The sequence below is a fragment of the Homo sapiens genome, chromosome 3 (genome assembly GCF_000001405.40).
Source record: "Homo sapiens chromosome 3, GRCh38.p14 Primary Assembly".
Taxonomy (NCBI): Eukaryota; Metazoa; Chordata; class Mammalia; order Primates; family Hominidae; genus Homo; species Homo sapiens.
In genome coordinates this window covers 50,668,299-50,681,568 of record NC_000003.12, presented here as the reverse complement: position 1 = coordinate 50,681,568, position 13,270 = coordinate 50,668,299, and the positions used below count along the sequence as shown (strand labels likewise).

At 44.6% G+C, this 13,270-nt stretch overlaps 1 protein-coding gene, 1 long non-coding RNA gene and 1 other non-coding gene across 23 annotated transcripts in view, besides 1 other annotated feature; all 3 read right to left on the bottom strand.

Moving 5' to 3' along the window:
- Window positions 1-6,642, bottom strand: part of DOCK3 (dedicator of cytokinesis 3) — a 709,272-nt gene extending 702,630 nt beyond the window's left edge. For all 21 annotated transcript variants that reach the window (XM_005264914.4, NM_004947.5, XM_006713010.4 and 18 more), the window contains exon 1: window positions 6,269-6,642. In XM_005264914.4, coding sequence (XP_005264971.1) covers window positions 6,269-6,305 — 37 coding nt within the window. In that variant the 5' untranslated portion in view covers window positions 6,306-6,642. The remainder of the gene's footprint in view (window positions 1-6,268) is intronic.
- Window positions 6,389-6,678: a silencer, noted in NCBI's record as "silent region_14406". NCBI's record gives its function as "represses an Ori minimal core promoter by ATAC-STARR-seq in GM12878 lymphoblastoid cells {active_cell/tissue: GM12878}" and the evidence as "EXISTENCE:reporter gene assay evidence [ECO:0000049][PMID:35858748]".
- On the bottom strand, window positions 6,406-6,489 carry MIR4787 (microRNA 4787). The gene has a single exon (NR_039950.1). It is a non-coding gene; the product is annotated as a microRNA 4787 (primary transcript).
- Window positions 9,518-12,130, bottom strand: LINC02019 (long intergenic non-protein coding RNA 2019). Its single transcript, NR_183733.1, has 2 exons — window positions 10,393-12,130; window positions 9,518-10,198 (listed from the first exon to the last, which is right to left on the bottom strand). It is a non-coding gene; the product is annotated as a long intergenic non-protein coding RNA 2019 (long non-coding RNA).
- Window positions 12,131-13,270: the final 1,140 nt, after the last annotated feature.

Sequence of the window (13,270 nt, the reverse complement as noted above, 5' to 3'; positions counted from 1 at the left end):
AAAAAAATGCTTGCTTCTCCCTGCAAAAGCTGTCAAAAGGGGGTATGCAAAACAATTAAATGCATAATCATAAACAGGTTTGGCTTGTTCATTACAATAAAAGCATAACATTGGAATTAAAATCCTAATATAGCATACCCAATAATGCTTACATGTTGGGAATAATTTCAGATCATTCTTAAAGAATAAAGACACAAAAATTTTAAAAAATTCAAAATACAAACTATTAAAAATTAAAATTTAGCACCAATGTAAAAATATGCTATGAAGGTTAAAGTACTTTCAACCTCAATGACCATTCTTTTGAGACTGCCCTGCTTCAGAATGCATCTAATACTACACAGAAATAGGTGCCATGTTTACAATTTAGCTTAATGTTTCTAAATCATATTCTAATACTGCATGATAAAACGAACTAGAAATCTGAAGTCTACTGAATAGACTTAAGATGATTAAAAACTTAAACATAAGACCCAAAACTATAAACCTACTAAAAGAAAACATAGGGAAAATGCTTCAGGACATTGGTCTAGGCAAAGATTTTATGACTAAGACCTCAAAAGCACAGGCCACAAAAACAAAAATAGACAAATGGGGCTACATTAAACTAAAAGCTTCTGCACAGCAAAGGAAAAAGAGTAAAGAGACAATCTACAGAATGGGAGAAAATATTTGCAAACTATTTATCTGATAAGGGACTAATATACAGAATATACAAGGAACTCAGCAGCAAAACCAAATAATCCCATTAAAAAGTAGGCAACAGGCTGGGCACAGTGGCTCATACCTGTAAACCCGCCACTCCCCAGGAGGGAGGGTCTCTTGAGGCCAGGAGCTCAAGACCAGCCTGAGTAAAATAGCAAGACCCAGTCTCTATAAAAAAAAAAAATTAAAAATTCGCTGGGCATGGTGGCATGGACCTGTTGTCCTAGCTACTGGAGAGGATGGCTTGAGCCCAGGAGTTCAAGGTTACCATGAGCTACGATCATGCCATAGCACACAAGCCTGGGTGACATAGCAAGACCTCGTCTTAAAAAAAAAAAAAAAAAAAAAAAAGCAGGGCACGGTGGCTCATGCCTGTAATCCCAGCACTTTGAGAGGTCAAGACGGGCAGATCACTTGAGGTCAGGAGCTCGAGACCGGCCTGGCCAATATGGTGAAACCCCGTCTCTACTAAAAATAGAAAAGAATTAGCCAGGTGTGGCGGCGCACACCTGTAATCCCAGCTACTCAGAAGGCTGAGACAGAAGAATCGCTTGAACCCAGGAAGCGAAGGTTGCAGTGAGCCGAGATCACCCCATTGCACTCCAACCTGGGCATCACGGCAAGACTCTGTCTAAAAAAAAAAAAAAAGAAAGAAAAAGAAAAAAATAGTCCAATACAGAAATAAAATTCCTTAAATATAACTATCCAGTTTAAATTGAAAACTGCAGAGTATGTCTTATCTTTCAAGCCACAGTCATATACTACTGACAATTCCTTTCAGAGGACACGGTGTAATAATACAATCTGTGGCTTAGAATCTCAAAGTCCTAGGTTCAAATCTCAACTCAGCACTTACTATCTAAAGTATCTTAGATCAGTTACTTAATTTCTCTCAGCTAAAGCTTCTTTCTCATCTGTTTAAAAAAGAGGGGAGAGGTGGTGATATAGTGTAAAGCTCAAGTAGAATCATGAATAAGGAAGTTCCCCATAAACACTAAACAAGACATCAAGCACATCCTCACTTTTCAGAACAAAATAAAGTCATAGGTCTATGAAATCTTTCCTACCCCTAGTGGATGATGTCTTTACCTCTAAAGGGGTATTGGGGCCCTTCCAGAGGTTGCAAAGGTTGGGCTTCCCTCACTGAATAAATAACTAAAGAGCACACTGTCTTCAGACTATTTTGGTGAGTTCTAGTCCATTTACCAACAGATTTACTCAAATTTTGTGAACACTAATTCTTCCAGATCTGGTTTCAAGGATCTATTTCCTCCCCACCTTCAGATTCTTTTCCTGCACCACAGGATCTTTACAAGTTTCTTTTAAGGACTCAGGATTTGTTTGTTTGTTTGTTTGTTTGTTTTTAAGTGCTTTTCTTCCCTATCTGGAGAAACCTAACCAAAAGGAAGTTAGGTAAAAATAATGCATAAAATACGCATTACTTTTTAAATAGGAAAAAATAAATATAACATTACAAAACTAAAATGTAAGGTCTTCAGATTGGTAATGAGAAAAATTTTTCATGTTCTACTAAGAGGGATTAATAAAAAATAAGCAATAAATGCCCTAAATTACTCAAAAATTTGCCTTAGCTGGGCACAGTGGCTCACAGGTATAATCCCAGTGACTTGGGAGGCTGAGGTGGGAGGATAGCTTGAAGCCAGCAGTTTGAGACAAGCCTGGGCAACATAGCAAGACCATGTCACTAAAAAAAATTTTTTTTAATTAAAATTTAAAAATTAGCCAGGCAAGGCTGGGCGCAGTGGTTCATGCCTGTAATCCCAGCACTTCGGGAGGCCGAGGCGAGCGGATCACAAGGTCAGGAGATTGAGGCCCTCCTGGCTAACATGGTGAAACCTCATCTCTACTAAAAATACAAAAACAAAATTAGCCGGGCATGGTGGCGGGCACCTGTAGTCCCAGCTACTCGGGAGGCTGAGGCAGGAGAATGGCATGAACCTGGGAGGCAGAGCTTGCAGTGAGCCGAGATCACGCCACTGCACTCCAGCCTGGACGACAGAGCAAGACTCCGTCTCAAAAAAAGAAAAAAAAAAATTAGGCAGGCAAGGTAGTAAACACCTGTAGTCCCAGCTACTTGGGAGACTGCTGCAGGGGGATCGCTTGAGCCCAGGAGTTCAAGGCTGCAGTAAGCTATGATCATGCCGCTGCACTCCAGCCTGGATGACAAGAGCAGGACCCCACCTCTCAAAAAAAAAAAATTGCCTAATGACAGCAGCAGAATAAACAAGATGACCTTCTGAAGCAGCTTCCACTTCTAAGACGTCAAACTAATACCTATGTACTCAAACCTTTACCACTTTTCTATTCAAGGAGTGTAATTACAAACATTTTTGTTTTAAAAACTGTTGGTGCTTGCTGCTCCTGCTGTTGCTCCTGTTAGAGGGTGAGAAAAGCATTTTCTTGGTTTTTGTATTCTATATTTGGTACTCTGGGTACAGTCAGTATAGGGAAAGACAGGTGTTTCACAAAAATAGCTGGATTTTTCTCACCTAATACACTTTAGAGCAGGAAGCTTCTTGGAAAGGTAGAATAAAGAATGGAAGGATGCAGGACTTTCCAAGCATTCATGGCAACAGAAAGGAAAGCAGAGATTCTCTAAGAGGGAAAGGGACATAAGAAGTCAAAACACGGGCGAACGGGTACAGTAAAGAACAGTACCTTACAGTACCACAAAAAGAAAGCAAGACAGTCAAGTATTTCACAAAATACTGCCCACTGCCAAGAAGAAAATTAAGAAAAATATACAATCGTTGAAGGACAAAAAAAAAAAAATTAACAACCTTTGGGATCCAGTTTCTTTATCTGTGTAATAATGATAACATTAAGACTACTCTGGGAATCGACATGGGGTTACCTAAGTGAGAGTCCCAGGCACACTGACAGGCCTATCACTGACCCTCAGAAAGGATAATGTCCTCCCCACTGCCTAAAATCACTCACAGAATATTACAATGGAAAGGGGGGCTCAGTCATCACCTCATCCTAAATGAATAAACCAAACAATTCAGTCATGTTATAACCTGTACAGAATTCCTATATTATAAAAAATTTAATAAGTATTACTACAGGATCTCAAAGCCTTATCAATGTCAAATACAAATGAACAGCTGCAGTGGAAAAAACCCTTTGTACTGCTGCAACAGGGGACTCCTTCCCTCACTAACATCAGGGCAAAAGGAGGCCCTCGAGGCCCTCCTCCACAAATTTCTCCAAATTGGTAGGAAGTAAGTGTAAGGGGTTTCCCTCCTTGCTATGTGATTATAGGTTGACAAACAAAGACACAAATCTGTGCTCCAAGTTAGTCATAAAAATCAAAGCTGAAACTCAAACATTTTCTCACAGGAAAATGATAATGGTTATATTTTCAAGCTAGCCCTCATAGCAATCAAATGATGCAGCAAAAATGCCGTTTTAATTGACTATTTTTCTCATAAGTATAATGTATAAGCTACTTTATAAAGTGGATTTTATGAAAAGTTCTAGAAGTGTAGCCCTAACATCCTTATGAAAAAAAATGTGTCCTGAGTTTTAAACAATTTACACAAAAACTTTTAGATCATAACTAAGGAAGGGACAGTGGAAGACTGTGAGATAAATAGAGAGTTGCTTGGTTTGGTAGAAAAGGCATCTAAGTTATGCTAAACCACAGCTGCTATGAAAATGTCTTCAGTGTAACTGTCTCTCTCATTTAGCAAGCATTAAGCTCTGCCCTGAGCCCAATGCTGTGGCCCTCCAAAGGGAATAACAATTTTTCTAAAGCTAAAAACACAATCCTAGGAATGCAAGAATTTCGTTGCATCTTGCTGGGAAAATCACACACCAAATCCTAGTGCTTTGAGATTCACATGTACCTATCTTGATTACCTTGCACTGGCTCTGTCTCAGAACACACTTAGTGTTATTAGTCTAAATACTAAGGGAAAAGAAGAAACTATTAAGCATTCAGCACGTTCTCATTTCACTTTCACAATCCTGTAAGATAGGTAAACATTATCCCCAATTTATACATTAATAAAATGACGTTAAATGATGTTAAATTACTTGCCCACACCACCAGTAAAGAGAAGCTAGGACTCTGAATTCCACTTTGTCCACTATTCAAGGGCTCCTCCCCCCACGCCCCCACCCCCGCCAAAATAGGGCTCCTCCCCCCTCCAAAAAAATCAATCATGGGGTGCCACTGGAGAGTTGACCACTCACATCAATTATTTGTTATTCTAGTTCAGCAGTTCTGGGAGCGAGTTATGGAGAAGATAAACCACCAACTCCTCACTTCACAGAATCAACTCAGTATTCAGGGAATACTCTAAGAGAAGGGGTAAAATGTCCCTAGAGGTGAATCCCAGCTCTTCGCATCATTTCTCAATTCCTTCTCAATAGAGACTCTAGGACCAGAGCTCCCTTTATCACCTCCATCCTAACATACCTAATTGTTTCAGAAAGTTACCTTTTAAAACAAGATCTTCTACCAGAATAGAAGACCTCTCTGCTGGTCCTCGAATTTAAATAAATTCAATTTTCACACGATAACCTGCCTGATAGCATTCCAAAACATTCGTTACCACTGCAGTTTCAAGTTATTTTGTAGTGAATTGTGAACTAAATCTTGATTAAATTGCGGTAAAGATGGGAAACAAAAATCTATGTTTAGACAGGTTTCCTATCTAAAATTTTCCATTACGAGCTTAGGAAAAACAAAACCTGTACACTCAACATTTTAAATCTGTTTCTAACTGAACAAGATGATAGGTGATGCAATGAGGCTTAACTCTATCATGTAATTGCCACAAAACACTAACATTGTAAAACATTCAATACTTTAAATTACTGAATATTCTTTTTAAAGAAGTTGAATATTGTAAGAATTATTTAGCTTCTGGAGTTTAACACTTACAACATTAAAAAAAGGTTTCTAAGAGGAATAAGGTCTCATCTGAAAACAGGGTTTAAAAAAAAAACCGTATAAACATTGATACATGTCCAAAAACATTTCCCATCGTAAGGTATTATTTCTAATACTAAAGGCAAAACAAATTAAAACAGATCAAACATTTGCAGTCAAATGTCCAAATTTTTGAACTGGGAAAATGATGTCAACGTTTTTCATCCGTTTTCTTGTAAGGTTCCAGATCAAAAATAAACAGCCATCGGGCTCATCAATTCAGGTGCGGAAACTCATTAAAATCGAGCTTTTGGAGGGGAGAAAACATATTCCCAGAATTTGGTTTATCGGGTAAAATTGCCCCGTGGCCCACACCAGAAACCTCGGGCAACTGCCCGGGCCTTGCCCACCCCTCCCGCGGGCCGCACCTGCCAAGGCCGCACCGCCAGCGCCCCCTGCCGCCCTCTCTGCACAGAGACCCGCGCCCACCCCCGCACCCGCACCCGCACCCGCACCTGCCCCCACCCCGCGCTCGCCCCGCGCCGAGGCCGCGCAGCCTGCGGGCAGTGGCGGGGGCACGAGGATGCGAATCCAGGCGGGGCCGGGAGCTGGGCGCGTCCCCCAGAACCCCCGCCACGGCCAGGCCTGAGCCTCACCTACCTACGCCGTATTTCTCCTCCTCCGTGGGGGTCCACATGGCCGTGCCGGGCGCGGCCCCGCGGGCGCGGCGACCGGGCGACAACGCGGCGGGGACGGCCGCGGGCCCGGCTGTGGCGCACCGCGAGTCGAGGCGGGGACGGTCAGGCGGCGCGGGGCAGTGGGCGGCGCATCCCTCACAGGCCGTCCGGGATGCCGCCGCCACCCCCGCCACGTCTGGACCGCGAGGCTCCGCGGGTGGCCCAGCAGCCCCTGGCGGCGCGGGCGAAGGCTCGCCACCTGTCCGTCGCCGCTGCTCCCGTGCCGCCGCTTGCTTCTTCACAGCTCCGCCGCCCGGCTCCCGGCGCCGCCGCGGCTCGGCTCGCCCCAGCGGGCTCGCAGGACGCCCGCGCATGCGCCACTCCCTGCCGCGCAGGGGCTCGCGCTGCCCGGGCTCGCGCCGTCCCGAGCCCGCGCGCGAATCCACGCGCCGCTGCTGCGCGCCAGCGGAGGGAAATCCGCGAGAAGCTATTGGACTGCCCGGCCCCGGACCGGCTTCTAGAATCGCTGGTCCGGGGCCCTCAGCTGCAGCAAACCCCGGAGGGGGCGAAGCCGGTCAGGTGGGCGACTCCCTCTACCCGGACTCCCCACTCGCTTCCGCTTCCAGTGCCTCCTGCCTGCGCCCCGAGATGGCCACAGGCCTCCTGGTCGGAGAGGGGAGATCCAGAAAAGGAGGACACGACACCATTTTCAGACCCATCCCAGTGTCACCCACAGTGCTGTCGGAAAGGTCCCCGGAGCCACCCTGTGCATTCCCAGGGCCCGCAGGATGGAGTCGCCACGAGGGAACCAGGTGGGGTGCACTCGTGCCCCTCTCTCCTGGATCCCCTGTGGGCTGAGGCCGCTGACACCTCCTGGGTTCTTGCTTCTCTGAGATGGCCTGAGTGGTGAATGTTTGGGGCCAGAACAATCAACAGCCGCCTTGCTAGTAAGGAAGAGCTTCATTGGGCCCTTCGTGTTCCTACCCAGGACACGGCATCTGCTGCTCCTGGGTGTCTGCCTCCCTTGGAGCCCTAAGAACTGGCTCCTACCGGAAACTTTCCTCCTCTCTCTCCTCCCTAAGAATCCATTCATTCTGATGCCTGTAAATGTCACCTTGTGACCCCCAAGTCAACCACTTACCAAAGAACAGGAACTGCAGGACTTCTCCTTTCCACCTACATTTGGACCACATGCTCTAATCCCAGCAGATTTGCCCATCTCTGTCACTAGCACTACTAAGTCAAAACCCTGGTGTCATCCTTCACTAGCACTCTCAGACACCACCACTCTTCAAAGCCCAGCTCAGCCCCTCACCTCCAGGAAGCCTGCCCTGACCCATAGTCTCCTTTCCTTCTTTGTCTGGAATTGGAGCTATGTTCGGTTTGTCTTATTTCCCTTATAAGACTGTCAGCTCCCAGAAGGCAAGCTCCAGGCTAAAATCAACTTTCTAAACCCTCACCACCAACCCAGCACCTGTTGTATAGTTGTTGCATGGGAAGCCAGACTAATAGAAGAATATCTTGCAATCAACAGATCTTGTTGATTCTTCGTTCAAAGTGTCATGATTGGTAACTCCTCCCAGGCCTGACTGTGCTCCCCTGGGTTATGGCCACCCCTTCCCACCTTCGGACCTTTAGGCTCCTCCTCTCACTAATCATAGCTGCCCACTCCCGCCCAGAAAAATGTCTGTTCTGTGAATGATAGAATTTCTCAATAGCCAGGTACACTTCTTTTTAGGGGTAGCAGGGGTGTCCAAGAACATAACGAAAGAGCTAACTGTTCCAAGAAGATAGACCCCTCCCCGGTGGCCACCATGGAAGTATTCTATGGAATGAAGCCACATTCTTACAAAACTCTCCAGGTAGCTATTCAACAAGTGGGGCTGAGCTACGCAGGCCTTCAGGGAACAACCTTAAAGCTCTTATTTCATCCTCTAAGTTCACTCCCTTGTCTGCTGTATGTGATGACAGTCACAGAGCCTAAGGGCCAGTTTTTCCAAAGTTTATACTCTTGTTCCCAGTCTGAATCCATCTTAGATTATGGCTTTCCCAGATGAAGAAAATTCTCCATGATTGCACACCTCAGCTCCAGGGTGGAAGGGCATTAAACCCAACCAGGGAAGGGAAAAGAAGGGACCAAAGTGAGAAGGAAGGGACTTAGTAAGCCTGGACTCCTACACTCTTGCTGTTTGTATAAATTTAGATTGTTTTTGTGAGTTGAAGCAAAAGGGCATAGCACACATTGGCCTTCAGCAGGACCATGCACCTGCTCTCTTATCCCCCTAGCATCTGCTCTGATCCTTTCCTTCCTCAGGCTCCCAGTCCACTCAACACACCACACACACACTCTCTCAGCATATGAGCTGCCTTCCAGCTTGCCTCTGAAAATCGAGACCCTCAGCACAGTAACCTCCCCTCCTCTCCAACTGCTCTTCTTTGTGTTCTCGCCACCACCAGGCTCACTGCCTGCTACTTCTCAGGATCCCCAACTATCATTGCCCTGTCTCCCATTTTCACCCTGACCTGCTCCACAGACTCCTGCGGTCCCAGGAAGACCTGCCCTGTTGGTACCCTCATCCCCCCATTCCCTCTCTCTTCCTCCTCTCTCCATCTGACTACAGAGGAGAATCATCCATTCCAAATCCTTTTATTTCAATGTAATTCATTTGATTCTCACCACCTGAAGGTCTGCGTTCTGACCCTGTCACCTCCTGGAAACTACTTTCCCAGAATTCCCCAGGGCCATCCCAACTTCAGACCATTGCCTTGTTCTGGCTGGGTTTTTGCATAGAGTGTCCCTCAGCTTGTGTCCTCTACTCTTGAAACCCACACATCTGCATCATGCTTCAAGAGCTGTCTCAGGGCCACTTTCCTGAAGAAGGCTTCCCCAACTGCCCTCAGTTCAGCTGGATTTTTTGCACCCATTATGACCTTTTCTGTAGCACTTACTCATTCCACCCTTCTCCAAGAGATCAAATGGGTCTGCTTCTCACATTGGCAAACATCTGTTTTTTTCTTCAGTGACAAGGATTGTTCTTCAATTATTTTTACCTTACACAGAGACTAACATAGTGCCTACCACCTAACATGAATTTAACATACACTCTTGGGTGAATAATCTCCCTGTACGTTTTCTGAGACCATAATGAAATAGGTTGGAAGAGAGAACTGAGATGTTTACCTCAGCAAGTCACAAATCGGCAAACTCAGAAACTCTAATTAATTAAATTTCTTTGTTATAGACATATTGGTTTTAATTAAAAATTCATTGCAATGTCTTATTGAGTAGCTATAAAAAAGATAAACATGATAGAGCAATTTAAAAAACAAAGTATGCAAACAGTTTCACTTATCATGTCACTGTTACTTTTGGGTTTAACTCATTACCTTAGATGATAAATTGCAACTCGATGAGCAAGGAAGGAATCAAGTTTTCTGCAGGAAATTCGTTAAGACTGGTGGCTGTTAAAAATAGCCGATACCCAAACAAATTTTATAAATAATTTACAAGAAATGCAGACAGCATCATCTTTTTCTCTTAGAGTTTAAGTTGATCAATAATTTTTTATCACAAGCAAACTCCATAATGGTAAATCCCCCATCACCTTTGGTGAATGATACTGGCCCTCTACAAAGCTCGATGAGATACACTTCATATCTTCTCTCCTTGTTTTCTGCTGCCTAGAGAATCACACAGCAGCATTTAAGGAGCCAGCCAGTCTGATGACTCAGCTCATAAAACAATGTGTGGCCACAAAGATGATGTTTATCCATGAGCATTCTGGAGGCTCTTGCTACTGAAGTCGGCAAGCAGTGGATAAGTGGCACACGATGCTCATTCTCAAGAGTTTCTGGCAGCGGTGCCAACACAGCACTCACTTCCCTCTCTCAGCAGTTGATTTCATCTGATGCTCTGTCCAAACAGAATGGTAGAAAAAAACATCAGAGAAATGCAGTGGGTATAGAGGCAAATCCAAACAAAGTGCAGGTGATAGTGGTGACATTCTGCCTTCTCTTGATCAGAAGGTGTCAGCAGCTGGAGCTTATCCCCATATGAACCCCAGGGTCAGGTAAATGGAAGACTTAAGAACACGTTACCCAACTTACCTCTGCCCTTCTGGGTTCCTCAAGGAGGGGGTCTGCTGTGGTTAGTAAAACGTCTGCGGAGCTAGTTTCCTTCATGGCAGAGAGATGCGCAAGCTAGTCTCACTTCACCAGCACCTCTTATTTACCCCAAAGCAACACCTTTTAGGAAGCCTCCTTTCAGGAGGCAGCTTTGGAATAAGGGGCTAATTCAAAGTAAGTTAACACAAAGGCTGTACACAGTGGCTCACACTTGTAATCCCAGCACTTTGGGAGGCTGAGGCAGGCAGATGACTTGGGGCCAGAAGTTCAAGACCAGCCTGGCCAACATGGTGAAACCCCGTCTCTACTAAAAATACAAAAATTAGCCAGTCATGGTGGTATGCGCCTGGAGTCCCAGCTACTTAGGAGGCTGAGACAGGAGAATCACTTGAACCCAGGAAGCAGAGATTGCAGCGAACCAAGATTGCTCCACTGCACTCCAGCCTGGTGACAAAGTGAGAATGTGTCTGAAAAAAAAAAAAAGATAAAGTTAACACAGAGATGGCTGACACAATTAGAGCACTTTCAGGTGAAGAGACCTAAAGTGTCTAAGAAGATATTAGTATTTTGCTTTAAGTTTTGTTGCATCTGAATATATTTTCAGTAGGGAGGGGATAGGGAAGAGTGTGACAGGAAGACAGATTAAGCAGTACAATATTTCATTATTTTCCCTAAAATGACAAACTTTAACCATCTGTTCCTATTTTATCAACCCATTCAAAATGTTATTAAAATGTGGATTTCTTTCAGTTAGCCAAGGTCTTCAAATGAGAAATGGCCAAAGCTCTCCTGATTTTAATTCGTGGAGACTGATGTGGCACTTCTGGATGGGCTCTAATGAATAAGCCCCACCATGAGAAGCACCCCCAGATGTTTCCAGATGTGTCAGAGAATTCCCAGCACTTGCTTGCTGCCCACTTGACTGTGAGCTACCTGGAGACAGCACCATGCTATATTCTTTTTTATTTTTAGTGCCTAGCATGCAGCATCTGACACATAGTAGGTGCTCAGTAAATATTGTTTTAATTAATACATTAGTAAATGAGTGCTTTTAATGTTTTCCAGAAATTTATATTTTTGTTCCAATAGGGTTTTTGTTTGCATGTTTATTTTCTGTCCAGGAAAAAGGGCGGAGATAGAATCAAAAACAAGATACCCCCTGGAAGGAAGGGCAAATAGATAGAAACTTGGCATTACCTAGATCTCTTTTCCCTTGGGGGGAAATAATTATGTCCTTAAATTTCTGCACTAAGTCACCAAGGAGGGCTTGAAATTAAAAACCTTGGAGAGTAATTAGCAACAAAACGTTCTGATGTCAAAAAGCACATTTTATAGGACCACATTTGTAATATTAATTGGGCCTCTGCATAGCCAAATGGTGAAATTATTGCTACAATACAAACAGGCCCAAAAGAGAAAAACAGCCCAAAATAGCACAGATATTCCAAATCAGGACAGAGGTAATTTCTCTATACATAAAAAACCACCAATTGAATGCCTTCACCAACTCACTTGAGTTAAATGAGTTAAAAAACAAAAGCCTGTTGAGTAGTGTAGCACCACCTACCCCATCTCTGAAATGCTATGGGACTGGGGCTAGGAAAAGAACCGAGACTTTATCCCCACCAGCTTTTCATACTTTTTATCTTGAAGTGTAAAAAGTTTGAATCATTTATTTACCAAAAATTTATTGAGCACCTATTATGGGCCAGGTCCAGAGCAAAAAAAAAAAAAAAAAAAAAAAACAGCGAGCCACTGCACCCAGCCTCTCTTCATGGAGTTTAGCATCTAGTTGGGAGAAGAGACACTGAACCAATAATCACACAAGCAAATATCTAATGAGAGACACAAGGACAGGTGCAGTGGCTCACGCCTGTAAATCCCAGCACTTTGGGAGGCTGAGGCGGGCAGATCATTTGAGGCCAAGAGGTCGAGACCAGCCTGGCCAACATGGCGAAACCCTGTCTCTACTAAAAATACAAAAATTAGCCAGGTGTGGTGGTGGGTGCCTGTAGTCCCAGCTACTCGGTAGACTGAAGCAGTAGAATCACTTGAACCCGGGAGACAGAGGCAGAGGTTGCAGTGAGCAAAGACTGCACCACCACTGCACTCCAGCGTGAGTGACAGAGCAAAACACCATCAAAAAAAAAAAAAAAAAAAAAAAAAAACGAAGAGAGATACAAGTACTAGGAAAGAAGAGAAAGAGAAAGGGTACATGTACAGAGGGAGCCTCAGCCAGGGATTCTGACCTAGTTTGCAAATAGGGAAGACTTCCTGGAGGAAATGATATTTAAACTGGAGGCTGACAATACATACAAATTAGCCAAGTAAAGAAGAGAAAAGTGTTCTAGACAGAGCAAGCAGCATTTGGGAAAGGTGAATCTGGTGAAGAAGGAGCTTAACGTATCCAAGGAATGGAAAGGCCAGTGTGACCAGGACATGATGTGTGAGCGAGCAAGTGGGGAGTGGGGAGAAATGTGCGGACTAGAGTGGAAGATAGGGGCAGCCGCTGGGGCCTTGCCACGTCCCATGACATTAGGGAACCAGCCATTGACAGACCTTGGGTCAGAAGCAGAGATAAGAGACATGAATAAGAACATGATCTCCCCTCAAGGAGATCCTGGGCTTGTTGAGGGAACAGCCTAGGAAAAGGCCTATCCTCTTGAGTCCTGGGCTCAGAGGCACCACTGCACATTCCCCAATTCTCTGAGCACCAACAAAGTCTGTGCAGAAGCATCTAGGACCACTGCTCACACAGGACCACTCCAGGCTTCTTTCTCCTCCTTGAGCCAATCTTTCCTTTGTTCTCAAGATGGCACATCTGTGCCAGGCTCCAGCGCTCATCTCCCGGGTTTGGAGG